This window comes from Homo sapiens, chromosome 20, assembly GCF_000001405.40.
Source record: "Homo sapiens chromosome 20, GRCh38.p14 Primary Assembly".
Classification (NCBI taxonomy): domain Eukaryota; kingdom Metazoa; phylum Chordata; class Mammalia; order Primates; family Hominidae; genus Homo; species Homo sapiens.
In genome coordinates, this window is record NC_000020.11 from 44,684,974 (window position 1) to 44,702,474 (window position 17,501).

Here is a 17,501-nt window from a genome sequence, read left to right on the forward strand (position 1 = left end):
CCTATGAAATTCCAGCTGCACCAGCTGCTTCTTTTGCTAAGCTCCCGTCATCCTTTCTCTCTCTCCACTGGGTCTTTCTGAATGTCAAGAATCCCAGCCACTGTTTAGTTAGCACTTGTTTTTTGCCACACTCTGTGAAGCACCTTCAAGCCCGATCACCGGATTATTCCTCCAACAACGCCGAGAGTGAGAAGAATGGCTATTATTTCGATTTTATAGGTGAGGAAGTAGAAAGCCCAGAGAGGTGAAGTTGCTTACCTGAGGTCACATAGGAGTCAATGGTATACGTGAGATCAAACCCAGACTCCAGAGGCAGCCCCCCTCAGTCGCCAGCCGTCCTGCCTCCTCTCCTGGTCTAAGCTGGGGAGGAAAAACCCATCTTGGCCAGCAGGGGGCGGTGTGCCCTCAAGGATAAGCCCTGCTTCCCAGAACTCAGACAGAATTTGCCAGCAAGACAACAGCACGATTCTGAAATATCTGGCTTTGAGCCCTCATTTAGTCCCAACTCTGGTGGGGCCTGGAGAACGGGGAGAGGGGTGAGAGAAGTATAAAATAGCCCTCAAATTGGTGAGCCAATGGTTCACAGAAAGGAAAGCGCAGCGGCATTTTAACATATAAAAAGATTCTCATTTTCACTCCTAGGAAGAGAAACGTGTTAAACCCACACCACCTGAGCAGGCACTGTTTTGCTATCAAACTGGCAAACTTATGCAGGTGGGGATATGGAGACACACTCCTTCTTACATTGTTGGTGGGATTAAAACTTGGTTTTGGCCAGGTGCGATAGCTCACACCTGTAATCCCAGCACTTTGGGAGGCCGAGGAGGGCGGATCACCTGAGGTCGGGAGTTCAAGACCAGCCTGGCCAATATGGCGAAACCCTGTCTCTACTAAAAATACAAACATTAGCTGGGTGTGGTGGCACACGCCAGTAGTCCCAGCTACTCGGGAGGCTGAGGCAGGAGAATCACTTGAACCCAGGAGGCGGAGCTTGCAGTGAGCTGAGATCTCGCCATTGCACTCCATCCTGGGCAACAGAGTGAGACTCCATCTCCAAACAAACCAAAAAAAAAAAAAAAAAAAAACCAGAAAAGAAAACTTGGTTTAACACCTATAGAAGCTAATCTGGTAACATCTATCAAAATTAAAAATGCACATATCTAACAGGTATGCATGATACATTCATCAAAAGACTTGAACTAGACCTGCATGATCTGATGTGGAGCCACCCACCACATGTGGCTGCTGAGTCCTTGAAATATGGCTGATCCAAGCCTGGCTGACATGGCAAAACCCTGTCTCTACTAAAAATACAAAAATCAGCCAGGCGTGGTGGCACGTACCTGTAGTTCCAGCTACTTGGGAGGCTGAGGCACAACAATTGCTTGAACCCAGGGGCGGAGGCTGCAGTGAGCCAAGATCGTGCTACTGCACTCCGGCCTGAGCAGCAGAGCGAGACAGTCTCAGAAAAAAGAAAGAAATATGGCTGGTCAAATTGAGATGTGCTGCAAGTGTGAAATATATATGGGATTTTGTATACTAACAAAAATGCAAAATGACTCCTTAATAACTTGCTAATATTGATGATGTGTCGCAATAATATTTTGGATAGATTGGATTAAGTAATTTTTATTTTTGTTTTTTATTTTTTTGAGACGGAGTCTCACTATGTCGCCCAGGCTGGAGTGCAGTGGCATGATCTTGGCTCACTGCAACCTCTGCCTCCCGGATTCAAGTGACTCTCCTGCCTCAGCCTCCTGAGCAGCTGGGACTACAGGCACCTGCTACCACCCGTAGTTAATTTTGTTTTGTATGTTTAGTAGAGATGGGGTTTCACCATGTTGGCCAGGCTGGTCTCAAACTCCTGACCTCAAGTGATCTGCCCACCTCAGCCTCCCAAAATGCTGGGATTACAAGCATGAGCCACTGTACCTGGCCTGGGTTAAGTAATTTTTAAAATTACTTTTACCTATTTCTTTTTCTTTTTTGAATGTGGCTGCTAGAAATATACATGGCTTGCATTGTGGATCATATTATATATTTTTACCTTTTTATTGTGGTAAGATATGCATAACATTTACCATTTGGACCATTTTTAAGGGTCCAGAAGTTCAGCTGTGTTAAGTACATTCCCATTGTTGCGCAACCATCACCATCATCTACCCCCAGAGCGTTTTCATCTTCCCAAACTGACACTCTGCCTCTATAAAACAACAACTCCGCTTGCTCCTCTCCTCCCAGCCCCTGGCAGCCACTATTCTACTTTCTGTCTCTGTGAACTGGACTATTCTAGGTTGCCTCATACGGGAGAAATCATATACAATTTGTCCTTGGTTGCTGGCTTATTTCACTCAGTATAGTGTCTTCAAGGTTCACGCATGTTGTAGCATATGTCAGACCTTCCTTCCTTTTTTAAGACTGAATAATGTTCCATTGTAAGGATATACCACATTTTGTTTATCCATTCATTCACTGATGGGCATTTCGGTTGTTTCCACTTTTGGCTATGGTGAATAGTGCTGCTGTGAACATTTTGGTACAAATATCTGTTTGACTCATATTTTCAGTTCTTCTGTGTCTATCATATTTTATTGGACAGGACTATGCCAGTGATCTCCATAGCCACATAATTTGAAATATCCCTAAACCAGGAACTACCCAAATGCTCATCGACAGCAGAACGGATAAATTGTGGTATCTTCATACAATGCAATACTCCAGTGAGAATGAAAATGAATGAACAACTACACACAGCAGTGTAGATGGAACTTGCACACATATGTGTCGAGCAAAAGAAGCCACACGCAAAATAATACATATTGTGTGATTCCACTCACAAAAAGTTCACAAGAGGCAAAACTAATTTATGATGTTAAAGTCAGGATGATGGCTGCTCTTTGGGGGCCATCTGGGGGCTTCTCTGGGGCTGACAATGTTCTGGACACCATCTTCAGGAGCGTGGTCACTCCGTGAAAATTCATCAAGCTAAGCACTTGGGATTTGTGTGCAACTTTGTGTATAAGTTAGACTTCCATAAGAAATTCCAAAAGATGCTTTGATCCAGCAATTCCACTCTTAGGAATTAAACGACAGATATATTTTCATATGTGTGAAATGAGGTGTGTACAAGATTATCCACTGCCGTTTTTATCAGCAAAAGATTGGAAACATGCCATCTCACACCTACTAGGATGACTACTATTTTTAAAAAATGAAAATAAGTGTTGGTGAGGATGTGAAGAAATTGGAACCATTGTGCCCTGTTGGTAGGAATGTAAAATGGTATAACAGCCACGGAAAACTGTACAGCAGTTCCTCGAAAAATGTAAAATAAAATTACCTTATGATCCAGTCATTCTGCTTGTGGGTGTGTGCCCAAAATAACTGAAAAGCAGGGTCTTGAACAGATATGTGTACACCCGTGATCATAGCAGCACTATTCACAATAGTCAAAGGTGGAAGCAATCCAAGTATCCAACAATGGACGAATGAATAAACAAAGTGTGGTCTATATGTAAATGGAATATTATTCAGCCTTAAGGAGGAAGGAAATTCTGATAGATGCTACAGCGTGGATGACCCTTGAGGACACTATGCTAAATGAGATGAGCCAGACAAGAAGGCACAAATACTGTATTATTCCACTTAGACAAAGTATCTGTCTAAAGTAGGCTGGATGCGGTGGCTTACGCCTATAATCCCAGCACTTTGAGAGGCCAAGGTGGGCAGACCACCTGAGGTCAGGAGTTTGAGACCAGCCTGGCCAACATGGTGAAACCCCATCTTAACTAAAAATACAAAAGTTAGCCAGGCGTGGTGGTATGTGCTTATAATCCCAGCTACTGGGGAGGCTGAGGCAGGAGAATCGCTTGAACCCGGGAGGCGGAGGTTGCAGTGAGCCGAGATCGCGCCACTGCACTCCAGCCTAGGCGACAGAGTGAGATCCGTCTCAAAAAAAAAAAAAAAAAAAGTAGCCCAATTCATAGGGACAGAAAGTAGAATGGCAATTCCAGGAGCTGGGAGGAGGGGGAATAGGATGTTAGTGTTTAATGGGTACAGAGTTTCAGTTTTGCAAGGTAACATTTTGGAGAGGTTTGGTGGTGATGGTTGCAGAACAATGTGACTATATTTAATGCCACAAAACTGTACACTTCAAATGATTAATTAGCTAATTTTTGGTTTTTTTTTTTTTGAGATGAAGTCTCGCTGTGTCACCCAGGCTGGAGTGTAGTGACGTGATCTCGACTCACTGCAAGCTCCACCTCCTGGGTTCATGCCATTCTCCTGCCTCGGCCTCCCTAATACCTGGGACTACAGGCACCTGCCACAACGCCCAGCTAATTTTTTGTATTTTTAGTAGAGACGGAGTTTCACCGTGTTAGCCAGGATGGTCTCGACCTCCTGACCTCGTGATCCACCTGCCTCGGCCTCCCAAAGTGCTGGGATTACAGGCGTGAGCCACTGTGCCCTTCCTAATTAGCTAAATTTTATGTTATGTATATTTTGCTGCAATTAAAATTTTTCAAGTGAGGTATCTATAAGGAAAGGTGAGAAAATATGTAAGATACAAAGATAATAAAATCCAGAGCAAGAACAGTATATAAGTCCTGTTTCCTTATGTTGAAATATATCAAAATATTCAACAGAAGACCCCAGGATAGGAAAGATGTGAAATTCTAGACTGGATCATCAGGTCCGACGGATTTACAAAGAAGGTGGCCGAGGATCTCTCTCCCCAGCCTTCACCCCCTCACTGACTGTGGGAAAATAAAGGGCTTGGGGTTTGGGGAGGAGGTGTTGCAGGAGGAGCGGCAGCTCCAGCTATGAGACCTCACCCAGAGGGGGCCAATACTGCCCCTCCAGATGCCAGGCAGGGGACATGGAAGGGTTTGGGGATTCGTTGTGGGCTGGGGTGGGGGTAGCTTGCAGGGGTCTGCTTGGGTCTTGTTCCCTAGGGCCTCCTGGAGGGTGGAGTGGTCTTAGCAGCAAGAAGCTGGAGTTGGATGTTGGATTCCTGAGGGCCGAGGAAGGACTTGCAAGGGACCTCCAGAAGGAGAAGTGCATCCCCCCCAGGGTCAAGAGTGAGGGAGCCCTGCAGCAATGGCCATCTGTGGGACATCTGTGACACTGTCAGCTGGAAGCCAGCAGGATGGCGGCAGCTCAAGTGAGACCCTTCCCCTCCCCTTACTATCTCCACAGCCCCCACTTGTGGGGGAGGGGAGGAGGTCCAGAGAAGGAGCCCCCCAAACTGCCTCCCCAGGACAGGCCCCAGCTGGGCAAGGGGAGAAGGTTTAAACCTAGATCCAATTGGGAGTTTGGATTAATAGCTTGACTGGACATTTTAAATTTGAGTTGAGACCATGTTTGTGACTTAAAGTGATGGTAGAACTGTCTTATGTAAGAATTGGGGCCAGGCACACTTTGGGAGTCCGAGACAGGTGGATCACTTGAGGTCAGGAGTTCGAGACCAGCCTGGCCAACATGGCAAAACCTGCCTCTACTAAAAATACAAAAATTATCCAGGCATGGTGGTGTGTGCCTGTAGTCCCAGCTACTTGGGAGGCTGGGGCAGAAGAATCGCTTGAACCTGGGAGGCAGAGGTTGCAACGAGCAGAGGTTGCCCCACTGTACTCCAGCCTGGATGACAAAGTGAGTGAGACTTCGTCTCAAAAAAAAGAGTTGGTCCCATTCTCCAGTGGGCTAGCCTTGGCTTGTCTCATGGTGGAGGAGGCTGGCGGGGGTGGGTCAGGTTCAGGGGGGTGGGGGAAGGTGGGGAGCAGAGGGTGGGAGAGAGAGAGAGAGAGAGACTGCAAGGACTGCATTCTTTTTGAGGCTCAGGCTCAGAACTAGCACAAGGTCACTTCCACCACATTCAATGGACCAAAGAGAGTCCCAAAGCCAACCCACATTGGAGAGAACGAAGGCAAAGTCACATTGCAAAGGGGTGTGGAAACAGATAGTGGTGCAGAATCTGGCCCGCTTTCATAATCAGTCCACTGGAAGACTTTGTTTTCCTCGCAAGGAAGGTTGGAAATGTAGACTCACTGCTTGTCCAGGCAGAAGAGGAAATGAGTTCAGGGAAGAGCTTGCCAGTCCCCAGCCTTTGCCCAGCCCCCTACTCATGCACATTTAGGCACACACCTACTGTGTGCTCAGCCCAGCAGGGTAGATTAGAGAGAGCGAGGGCGTCGGGATAGAGGGCCTGATTCCCCAACCGGGTGACTATCACTTCCGGTCTCATGACCTCCATGTTCTCATCTGTAAAATGGGGATAAACATCCTCATCATCTCTCCTGCCATTGGTATGGTGGTGACAAAAAACACTTTATCGATTCATGAAAGTCATCAGACAAAGTGGATGATGCTGTCCCTGCCCTCAAAGGTGTTAAATAAAGAAGATGAGAATTCAATACATGTCCCCAGCTCTGGTGAGACTGTAGGGGTTGTGTTAACAAGGGAGGGAGAGACATCAGAGAGCTGTTGGCAGGGGAGAGCCCTGTGGCCAAGCCTTGACAGATGGTGAACAGAATCTGGAAAGACAGAGGGCATGGGGCATGGCAGGGTGTGGAAACAGCACACTTGCAAAAGTGTGGAGGCTGGACACATGTGATATAAGGCAGGGTCCCCTACCCCATGATTCAAAGCAGAAATTCGCAAAGACTTTGATGTAGGCTGGGCTGGGAGTTGACTACACTTGCATGCCTGTTGCTTGGCAGGATGGCTTTCAAAAAAGAAAAAAATATAATAATGAAAGATTGAAAACAGATTATTGGGGAGAAAAGTATCCCAGGCGCTAGACGGCTGTCTCTGCAGCCTCTGGCTCCTGTCCCACCCATTCCCCGGCCCTGACGCAAGGCTGGCTGGAAGAAGGTGTTCTCGAGATTGTTCAGGCTGAGGGCCTGACTGGCAGGAGACTGAAGCCTACCCCATTCCTGCCTGGGTGCCAAGCTCTGCATGAGGTTTAAATATACCCACAGCCTGACACTATGCCCTAGATCATGCTAAATGTTTCCATACTCCTTGAATTCTCTTCTCAAGGTTCATTTATTGTCCCCATTTTTCAGATCAGTAAACTGAGGCCCAGAGAGGTTAACTGGTTTGCCCACAGTCACACAGCCAGACAAGTTTGAGTATGTCTGATTCTATTGCCTTATTCCAGGTTTGGGATACAGGCAGAGTAGGGAGAGGTTTAGGATGGTAAAGAAGAATGTTCCAGGAGGAACAGAGTTAGTGTAAGGGCAGTCTAATCTAGAGTCAGAATTTGGAGCTGTTTGTTACAGCAGCATGACCTAGCCTATCCTGACTGATACAAATCATGGTAAACTAATTTATATGTCCTGAAAAATATTAGAACTTAGCATCTACCTCTTAGGAGAGCTTTTTTTTTTTTTTTTAACTTTTACATTTTGGCAAAACACACCGAACATAAAATTTACCATCTAAGCAATTTTAAATGTACAATGCATGGCTTTAAGTACATTCACATTATTGAGTTTCTATCACCATCCTTCCACAGAACTCGTCATCTTGCAAAACTGAAATTCTAAACCCATTAAGGAAACTTCTCATTTCCCCCTCCCCAGCCCCTGGCAATTCCACTTTCTGTCTCTATGAATTGGACTACTTTTGACAGATACCTCCTATAAATGGAATCACACAGTATGCATCTTTCTGTGACTGATTTATTTCACTTAGCATAATGTCCTCAAGCTTCATCCCTGTTGTAGCATGTATCAGAATTGCCTTCCTTTTTTAAGGCTGAAAATCTTCCATTGTGTGGATACACTATATTTTGCTTATCCACTAATCTATCAATGGACACTTGAGTGCCTTTCACCTTTTGGCTATTGTGAATAATCTGCTATGAACATGGACACACGAATATCAGAGGCAGCCTTTTCAAGCAAAGGGTTTTTGGGGAAAAAGCCACTGTCCAGGACTCTAGGCTTGGCCACTAACTTGCTGTGTAGCTGTGGGCACATTGCTTCCTGCATCGTGTATGGCAATTCTAACTCTCTCCACCTTCACTGCCTACTCACAGCCGTGTGCTGGGGACCAGATTAGACCATGGACTATGAAACTCTCAGCAAAGAAAAAGCCACGAGGGGCTGTTATTGTTATTACTCAGTGGGGTCAGGGCAGTGGCTTCCCAAAGGCATGAGTCACTCATGGTGGAATTCCAGACATCAGGAGGGCCGTTCTGGGCAGCAGAGCCCAGATTCCAGACAGAGCAGTGACCCTGACCCGGAGCCCCTAGGGGAGCCACACCCTTTCTCTTTGGCCACTGGCTGCTGTGAGGAAGGAGTCAGTGAATGTCATAATCATATGGGCACTTAGGGTGAGAGCCTCCAGTCCCACTGCCTCACGTAACTATTTAAGGAGGCTCAGAAAGGGTCATGCACTTGCCCAGAGTCACACAGCTAGACAGTGGTGGAAGCTGGCCTGGGTCAGATTTGGACATCTACAGAAGCCCTTCTCCTCCCTGCTCGCACCCCTCTTAGCCCCAGCATGTGAGGAAGGCAGCTGTCTCCCTGAGCTCCGTCCTTCTATGCCTTGGGTTTAGCCATGTTGACTGCTGTAACAAATAACTCCAAAACCTCAGTGGCTTTGCATTATAAATGCTTGGTTCTTTCTCACATCAAACTGCAATAAGTCTTGACAGGAGGGCTCTGTTTTCTGCAGGTCATATAGGGATTGAGACTTTTCCTATTTGTGGCTTTCCTCATTCTCAGAGTCCTCTCCATTCAGCAGGCAGATGGCAGAAAGATTGTGGGTAGAAGATTTTTATAAGCCAGACCTGAAATCAGTACAATTATTTTTGCTTACATCCCATTGGCCAGAGCTCAGTCACATGACCACATCTAACTGCAAAGAAGGCTGGGAAATGTATCCCACATGTGTGCCCAGGAAGAAGAAGATGGCTATTGGTGAGCCTTGGTAGTCTTCCACAAGAACATGACCCAGTTCTGGCCAATAAAACATAAAGAAAGTATGCTGGGACAGGAGGTTTGAGAAGGGCTGGCCTCAATTATTATATAAAAAGGGGTGTGGGGAAGGTCCCCTATTCTTTCCCTTTAAGTGGTTGCATGAGGATGCGATGTCTGGAACTTTGGCAGCCATGTTGAGAGCATGACGGGCCAAGCCTCAGGGCTACAGCCAATATACTGAGGGTGCTGAAGCCAAAATGCGGGTCCTAGATGACATCACTGAACCTCTGAATGAACCAAAACTGGAGCCACGTAACCTCCAGATTTCTTGACTGCGAAGGCACCTATTATTGAATTCAGGAGTAATAGGGTATTCTATTACTTGCAGCCTAAAACATCCTAGCTGATTGACACTCAGGTGCAAATGCTGAAAACAGCTAAGAGGACAAGGTTAAGCCATGCCAGCTGTTACAACGAATAACTCCAAAACCTCAGTGGCTTTGCACTACAAATACTTGGTTCCCTTGAAACCCCTCCTCTGCTTGAAGTTAGGTAGAGCCAAGTAACATAGCTTTGGCCTACTCTGGATGTTGTGCTTTTTTGGGGAAGTTGGGGACAGAGCAGCAGTTCAAGCACAAAATGACCTGGCTGCTTTGTGCCAGGTCCTTTATACACACAGTGTATACACGGGAGCAAAATGCCTGGACTCAAATCTTGAGTCTGCCACCTCACCAGCCATGTGACCTTGGGCAAAGTCAATCAACCTCACTGAGCCCTAGTTTCCCCATTGAAAACATTGGGGTGATTATAAATATTCTACCCACAGAGTAAAGGATTAAATGTCCAATTCAGATAAAGAACTTGGCACATTATCTGTAAATAAACACTTAAAAGATTCTGACCAGAGCCTGGTGGGATGTGAGTAATATCAACCCCACCTTAGAGATGGGGAGTCTAGGGTTCAAGGAAATGAAGTCCAAGGACATATAAATAATAAGAGACAGAGCCTGGATTTTAATACAGACCTAATTGAACACCTGCTATGTGCCAGGCATTGTGTGAGGTGTTTAGATATATTATCCCATTGAACATACTAGCAATCCTGCATGGGAGGTATTATTATTATCATTATTGTTATTCCTATTGGACAAATGAGAAAGCCAAAACTCAGAGAAGTGAAAAGACTTGCCTACAGGCCAGGTCAAGATGCAGTACTTGAACCTAGGCTGAGTCCAAGCCTTTATTCTTTCCACCATGTATAAGCCTCCCTAACAGAAGCCCACCAGACTATTATAGTGGAATTGTAGGCATCAGAGGAGTAATACATTTGGCTCCCATGGCTATTCAGGGTTCCCTGAAGTCATCCCCAAAAGCTGGCTGCCAGTCCAGCCTGTCACCAAGGTTGTCCTGGTGATGGCTTTACCCTCACTCCTCCAGTAGAATAACTGGGCCCTGGAGTGGATGGTCCTGAGGGAGGAAGTTTGGCTCACTTGATAAAGCAGAACTTTCAAACACTTTGAGCTCATCCATGATGGAATAGGCTGCCTTGGGATGCGATGAGTTCTGTGGTCCTGGGAGGATACAAGCAGAGAAAGTCTGGTGGCCACCTGCAAGGAAGATTATTAAGACAGTTACTGCATAGAAAGTGAAATTAGATTCAAAGACCTTTCAGGTTTGAAATCTGTGGTTGCAAGATTCTCAGGTCCCATTTTCTCAGATTCCAGTCTAAGATTACATGATACTCAAAATCCAGGAATCTAAGGCTGCACGAGTTTTCTCCTTGGATTTTTTGTTCCCTATTTAGGCAGTTAGACTGCAGAACATCTACTGACTCAGGAAACAGATGTGTTAGTAAAAGCAGAGAATACATTTCTGGGTTTCAAAAACACCCCTTCCTCCCAGGAAAGAACATTCCTAAGAGACTTGGGCATCTTGAACACCTAATGAATCTGAAAGAGGCTCTCACTTTCTGTGACTGTCTTTAGGGACTGTCCACAAATACTCTGTTTCTTTTCCTTTTAGGGTGCCTTAGTCTGTTCAGGCTGCTACAGCAAAACATCTTAGACTGGGTAATTTATAAACAACAGAAATTCATTGCTCACAGTTCTGGAGGTTGGGAAATTCAAGATCAAGGCTCCAGCAGACTCAGTGTCTGGTGGGAGCCTGTTTCTTATAGATGGTGACTTCTGTGTGTCCTCACATGGCAGAAGGGACAGATGGGCTCCCTCAAGCCTCTTTTACAAGAACACTAATCCCATTCATGGGTGGAGCCCTCCTGACCTAATCAACTTCCAAAGGCCCCACCTCTTAAGGCTATCACTGTGGGGATTAGGTCTCAACATCTGAACTTTGGGGAACACATTCAGACCACAGCACAGGCCCATAGTAGGATTTCCACTTGAACTCCCTCCTCTGCTTGAAGTTAGGTACAGCCAAGTAACAAGCTTTGGCCAATGAAATGTGTGCAGAAGTGAAGTGTGCCACTTCCTGGGGGAGACTTTAGGAGCCAGTCTGTGGCTTGATGCTTTCTCTTGCCCTCTGCTGTGCAACAGTTGAAATGGTGGTTGTTCTATCAGCTGGGATCCAGGAGCAAGGAGACACAGAGCAGCGCAGCAGCTGCCCAGCAGGGGACGTGCATCAGGAGCCACTGAGAAACAGGACTTGAGCGTTGCTGTTACTGTAGCAGAACTCACCCTACCCTGACTGATGCACAGCTCTCCCCTCCCCTCCCTCCTTCCTCCCATCTAAGAAGGCTGGGAAGGAGGTCAGAGAAAAAGCTATGAGTGAGCATATTTTGGATTTTGTTGGTCAGTGGGCCCCAGAGAGCTTTGAAGAATTCAGAAGCAGAGAGCAGGGAGGATCTCAAGAGATAAAATGGCCAAGAGGGCCAGAGACAACCTCACGCCTAGATACAATTGGGGAAAAAAAATGAATGGAGCTGGGAAAGTGATGGGGTTGGGGAAAAAAATCCCAATTGAATAAGATGAATTTTCTGCCCACATATGGAATGGAGCATTGAAATGAGAATGAATTTAAAATAGATTACATTTCCAGCCCATCTGAATTTCAGACTGAGAATATCTGCTGCACATAATTCAAGATCCCACAGTCTCAAGAGGCTTGGGTCCTGGGCTTTGACAATGACTCTTTTCCTGGGCAGAAGGTTGTACATGGACACTGGGAGCACCTAGGCCTGGAAGCTGGGAGAACTAGGCTCTCCTGTCTGATGTCACTTTCCCTGTCACTTTCCCAGGGAGGCCTTCCCTGACTGCCTGACTTAAAAGGAACTTCCTCTACCACCCTGGCCATTCTCTATTCCTCTTCTTAACATCAATTGACACACCACAAGTTTTCATTTTTTTTTTTTTTTTTTCTTGAGATGGAGTCTCACTCTGTCACCCAGGCTGCACCCAGGCTGGAGTGCAGTGGCACGATCTCAGCTCACTGCAACCTCCACCTCCCAGGTTAAAGCGATTCTCCTGCCTCAGCCTCCCGAATAGCTGGGACTACAGGCACGTGCCACCACGTCCAGCTATACTGATGTGTTTATTGTCTATTTCCCCACTTGACTGTAAGTTTCAAAATGGCAGATATTCCTCTCTCTCTCTCTCCCTCTTTTTTCTTTTCCCTTTTATTTATAAAAAACTTCAAACATACAGAAAACCTATCATGAAGACCCATTTACCGCTTACCCATCATCTAGATTTCCAACTGTTAACATTTTACTGTATTTGCATCATGTTTTTTGGTGCTGGCATTTTCTGAAGTATATAATATTCTTCACTATATTTCCTTTTAAAAAATTGAAGATGGCCGGGCGCGGTGTCTCACGCCTATAATCCCAGCACTTTGGGAGGCGGAGGTGGGCGGATCACGAGATCAGGAGATCAAGACCATTCTGGCTAACATGGTGAAACCCTGTCTCTACTAAAAATACAAAAAATTAGCCGGGCGTGGTGGCGGGTGCCTGTAGTCCCAGCTACTTGGGAGGCTGAGGCAGGAGAATGGCATGAACCCGGGAGGTAGAGCCTGCGGTGAGCCGAGATGGTGCCACTGCATTCCAGCCTGGGCGACAGAGCGAGACTCCATCTCAAAAAAAAAAAAAAAAAATGAAGGTAAGGAGTTTTGTCTGTTGTATTCACTGCCATATTACTCACTGCCTGGAAGTTGGTAGGCCTTCAGCAAATAGTTGCTGAGTGAGTAGAAGGCGTTAAATCCTCATGACAACCCTGTGCGGTAGGTGTTATTATCCCCCATTTTACAGAAGAGGAAACTAAGGCACAGAGAGGAAAAGTAACTTCCCCAAGGCCACATGGTTGGCAGGTGATGAAAGGGGGATTTGAGCTCAGGCAGGCTGAGTTCAGAGCCCATGCATTTAGCGCACAATTGCTCTCTGCGGGCAATGGCCATTCATCTCCAACTGGGATGTTTATTCATCCTCTTTAGATACCATCTACAGAGGAGACCCAGAGGAAGAAGAGGGGCTCACAGGCTGGCCAAAAGCAGGTGATCTTCCTCTGGGGACCTGATGCTCTCACAAAGCCTGGGGCCTTCTGTCCTGCCCTGGGGTGGAGACAGAAGACTCCTTCCCAGACGAGTGACCTTTAGGGTTTGTTATGAATAGAGATTCCTTCTGGGGAACGTGATGGCTGATGCTGGGAACCCGGGTCCCCAGATTTAACCCCTAGGAATGTGGAGAGGAATCTCCAGACCTCCACCCAGGAGGCCAGCTCTCCCAGCCACCCAGGCCAGCCAGAAGAGGGTGGTTCTAAGCAGCTCTTCCAGTTATTGGACCACTGGGAGGTGGACTGGAACCTTCCATGTCCAGGCTGGGAGGCAGCTCCTCAGAGTAAAAATAACTCTAGGCTTCAAAATCCTGGGGTCTGCCTCTTCCTCCCCAGCTATGTGACATTCACTGGACAGGTGCCTCATGTGGGGGGACTTTGGTTTTCACATCAATCTAATGGGACTAAATATTATACCAACCTCTCAGCAGGGCTGGGACTAGGGTGAAGCCAGCCAGGTGCTCAAGGCATAACATTTAGGGAGGTGCTTGTTCTGAGGCGCCAACCCTGCACTTGCTCAGGCCCCGGGGTGAGGGCCTCGGTAGATTTGCACCCTGGTCACCTTGCTGCCTCAACCTGGCCCCAGCCCTGCCTCCCAGGGTTGTCGTGGGAAGGAAATGAGATATTGTATACAAAGCATGTTAGCACAGCATGTAGCATGCCCTTAGTGCTCACTTGTGGGGAAAATTCTGTTATTGTTCTTTTTTTTTTTTTTTTTTTTTTTTTTTTTGAGAGAGAGTCTCGCTGTGTCACCCAGGCTGGAGTGCAGTAGCACGATCTTGGCTCACTGCAACTTCTGCCTTCCGGATTCAAGTGATTCCCCTGCCTCAGCCTCCTGAGTAGCTGGATTGCAGGTGTGCACCATCATGCCTGGCTAATTTTTTTTTTTTTTTTGAGACGGAGTCTCGCTCTGTCGCCCAGGCTGGACTGCAGTGGTGTGATCTCGGCTCACTGCAAACTCCGCCTCCCGGGTTCACGCCATTCTCCTGCCTCAGCCTCCTGAGTAGCTGGGACTACAGGTGCCCACCACCACGCCTGGCTAATTTTTTTGTATTTTTAGTAGAGACAGGGTTTCACCGTGTTAGCCAGGATGGTCTCGATCTCCTGACCCCGTGATCCGCCCGCCTCGGCCTCCTAAAGTGCTGGGATTACAGGCGTGAGCCACCGCACCTGGCCAATTTTTGTATTTTTAGTAGAGACGGGGTTTCGCCATGTTGGCCAGGCTGATCTAGAACTCCTAATTTCAAGTAATCCACCTGCCTAGGCCTCCCAAAGTGCTGGGCTAGGATTACAGGCGTGAACCACCGCACCCAGCCTGTTCCTATTATTTTTATTGACTGCCTTTCTGAGGTTGGCTGGGCCTGTTTCCCAGCAGTGGCCCTGCCTTGGACCTCTTGCCATGGCCTTCGTCTCTCCCTCCACTTGTACATATTATACCCTTTTTATTATTTATCCCCTTGTAGCATGGTTTGATTCCCATTATTTACTGGTTCCTTGTCCCATGTCTCCTCCTCTGTGTCGACAGCCTGGAAACAATGATTGCTAATATTTACCAAGTGCTCACCATGTGCCAAGCCCTGGGCTAAGCATTTACATGCTGGATTTCATCTCATCTTTACAATGATCCTATGAGGTAGGGACTATGATTATACCCATTTTTCAAATGAGGAAATGGAGGCACTTAAAAATTGAGTAACTTGCCCAAGGATGCATTGTTAGAAAAGGATGGAGCTGAGGGTAGAATCAAGATGGCTTAATCCCTAAAACCCAAGGGATGGAACCCAGAACACTGCCTCTTCCACTCTTCACCAGCTTCTGCCCTGCAGGGTACACGCAGATGGCTCCAAGCAGGGGCCCCATTGCTCACTGGGGGAAACTGGCCTCCCTGAGCTAAGTCAGGTCCTGGGCAGAGGGACAGATGCTCTCTGTGCATCTCTAGGCCACAGCAGGGCGTTTCCAAGTCCTTCCCAGACCAGACGGCGGCTTCTGCTGTAGGCTATAGTAATAACAACAGCGTTGAGCACTCACACTGTACCAGAGCAGGGGTGGCGCCGCGCTGCACACCTGCCGCCCAGGGTCTCCACAGTCCTCACGCTGCCCTTGCATTGATTATTGTCTTTATGTGACCAGTGTGGTAGCTCAGGTGTCAAGACCTCAAGGCACCCAGCCAGGGTCGCATCTCACGTCTATGGCAGATCCAAGATCTGAACTTGGACTTGTCTGAATCCTGGATAAGCTGGGGGGTGAAGCTGGCTGCTGAGGATCCTGTGTGCCCCTCAGCCCTGTTCCCACCACCTCTGTGCCTCCTCCCTGCTGGCAGCCACTGTGGCCACAATGGGGTTAACCCCAGAGGAAGGCATTGAAGGCGCTGGGGCTGGGGTGGGAAGGAAGGCATATTTCGGGGCTCCAAGGACTTGAAGCCTAGCTGCTCCATGCCCAGGCTCTGGGACCCCCCAATACATGCACACATTGTTTAAAATGAAGTGGAACTCCAGGCAGGCAAGTTTTGATTTAGGGGAGACAGCTCCTCCATGGTAATGATACTGAGCCTTGTTATTTGAGCAAATAGGTTTTCTCCCAGCCTCTCACTCCTTTCTTTGTAATTCATCTTCCATCCTGGCCACATGCAGGCCCTGCTTGGAACTCTCTGGGGACTCCTACCCCACAGGATAGTCTAAAACCCTGCCCCGGTATTCAAGGCTGTTTGCAGATGTTCCTCAACCCCACCACCTGTTGCTCCCAAAATTCACACACCCCAGACCTGCACACCACAGTTGTTGCTATTCCACACACAGGTCGCTGGGAGCAGCGCACGGCCCAGCCCCGCCTTTCTGCAAGTGGATCCCTCTGCCTGGAAAGTCCTCCCTCCCCTCCTCTGGATCCTCCTGGGTCAGGCTGGGTGCTCCTCTGAACTCCCAGGCTGAGGGTTGCTGTGTAATTTGATACTACATTGACATTGCAGGAAGATCATGTATGGCTGAGTAGCTAAAAATGCAGGCTTTGAACTTGGATGTGGGTTCAGCCTCAGCTGTATCTCCCGCCAGCTGTGGGACATTGGGCTGGCGTCTCTGAGCCTCAGTTTGCTTCTCTGAACATAGAATGATACGCCCTACTCCATTAAGGTGCTGAGGGTGAAGGAAACCACGGGCTCAGTGTGGGCAGCTTGGCCAGGGCTCCAAGCGCATCGGGTGTTCATGTAGTCCTTCTAGTGCCAGGCGGTCATTAGCAACTTGGTGCCAGTCTCTGAGCTGGTCTCCAGGACGGAGCAGTGGAGGGACCATGTAGCCCCTGCTCCCACAAACACAGACATTGGACAGCCAATTAGTTACCCCAGTTCGTTACCATGGAGACTATAATTAGGGATTATAGTCACCCTGCCCAAGCGCACAGGCCTCACCTCCCATCCTTGCCTTAGCTTTGAAGCTCCCTGGAGCAGGATCTAAACTGGATTTGTCTCTGTAACCTCAGTTCCTCATTATTCATGGTCGGAATGCTCAGCAAACGTTTAAGTGGAAGAGATTTCCATAACAAACACTTGGGAGTTCAGAGGAGCACGCGGTCCAACCTGAACAGAGCAGGAGGATCTCAGAGGAGGGAGGCCACTAGGTAGGATGCGGCGGCACTAAGGGTAGCACTTAGTTTGTGACAAGGACTGTTCCAAGCACACCACTTGGATCATCTATTAAATTCTCACTTATTTATTTATTTATTTTAAAATTGTGTTTATTTATTTATTTATTTATTTATTTATTTGTTTGTTTTGAGATGGAGTCTCGCTTTCCAGGCTGGAGTACAGTGGCACAATCTTGGTTCACTGCAGCCTCTTCCTCCCAGGTTCAAGCGATTTTCCTGCCTCAGCCTCCCAAGTAGCTGGGATTACAGGCATGTGCCACCACGCCCGGCTAATTTTTGTATTAAGAGATGAGGTTTCGCCATGTTCACCAGGCTGATCTCGAACTCCTGACCTCAAGTGATCTGCCCGCCTTGGCCTCCCAAAGTGCTAGGATTA

At 47.5% G+C, this 17,501-nt stretch overlaps 3 annotated features.

Annotated features, from left to right (window-relative positions):
- Window positions 275-394: a silencer, noted in NCBI's record as "silent region_12946". NCBI's record gives its function as "represses an Ori minimal core promoter by ATAC-STARR-seq in GM12878 lymphoblastoid cells {active_cell/tissue: GM12878}" and the evidence as "EXISTENCE:reporter gene assay evidence [ECO:0000049][PMID:35858748]".
- Window positions 11,497-11,546: a silencer, noted in NCBI's record as "silent region_12947". NCBI's record gives its function as "represses an Ori minimal core promoter by ATAC-STARR-seq in GM12878 lymphoblastoid cells {active_cell/tissue: GM12878}" and the evidence as "EXISTENCE:reporter gene assay evidence [ECO:0000049][PMID:35858748]".
- Window positions 12,237-12,286: an enhancer, noted in NCBI's record as "active region_17939". NCBI's record gives its function as "activates an Ori minimal core promoter by ATAC-STARR-seq in GM12878 lymphoblastoid cells {active_cell/tissue: GM12878}" and the evidence as "EXISTENCE:reporter gene assay evidence [ECO:0000049][PMID:35858748]".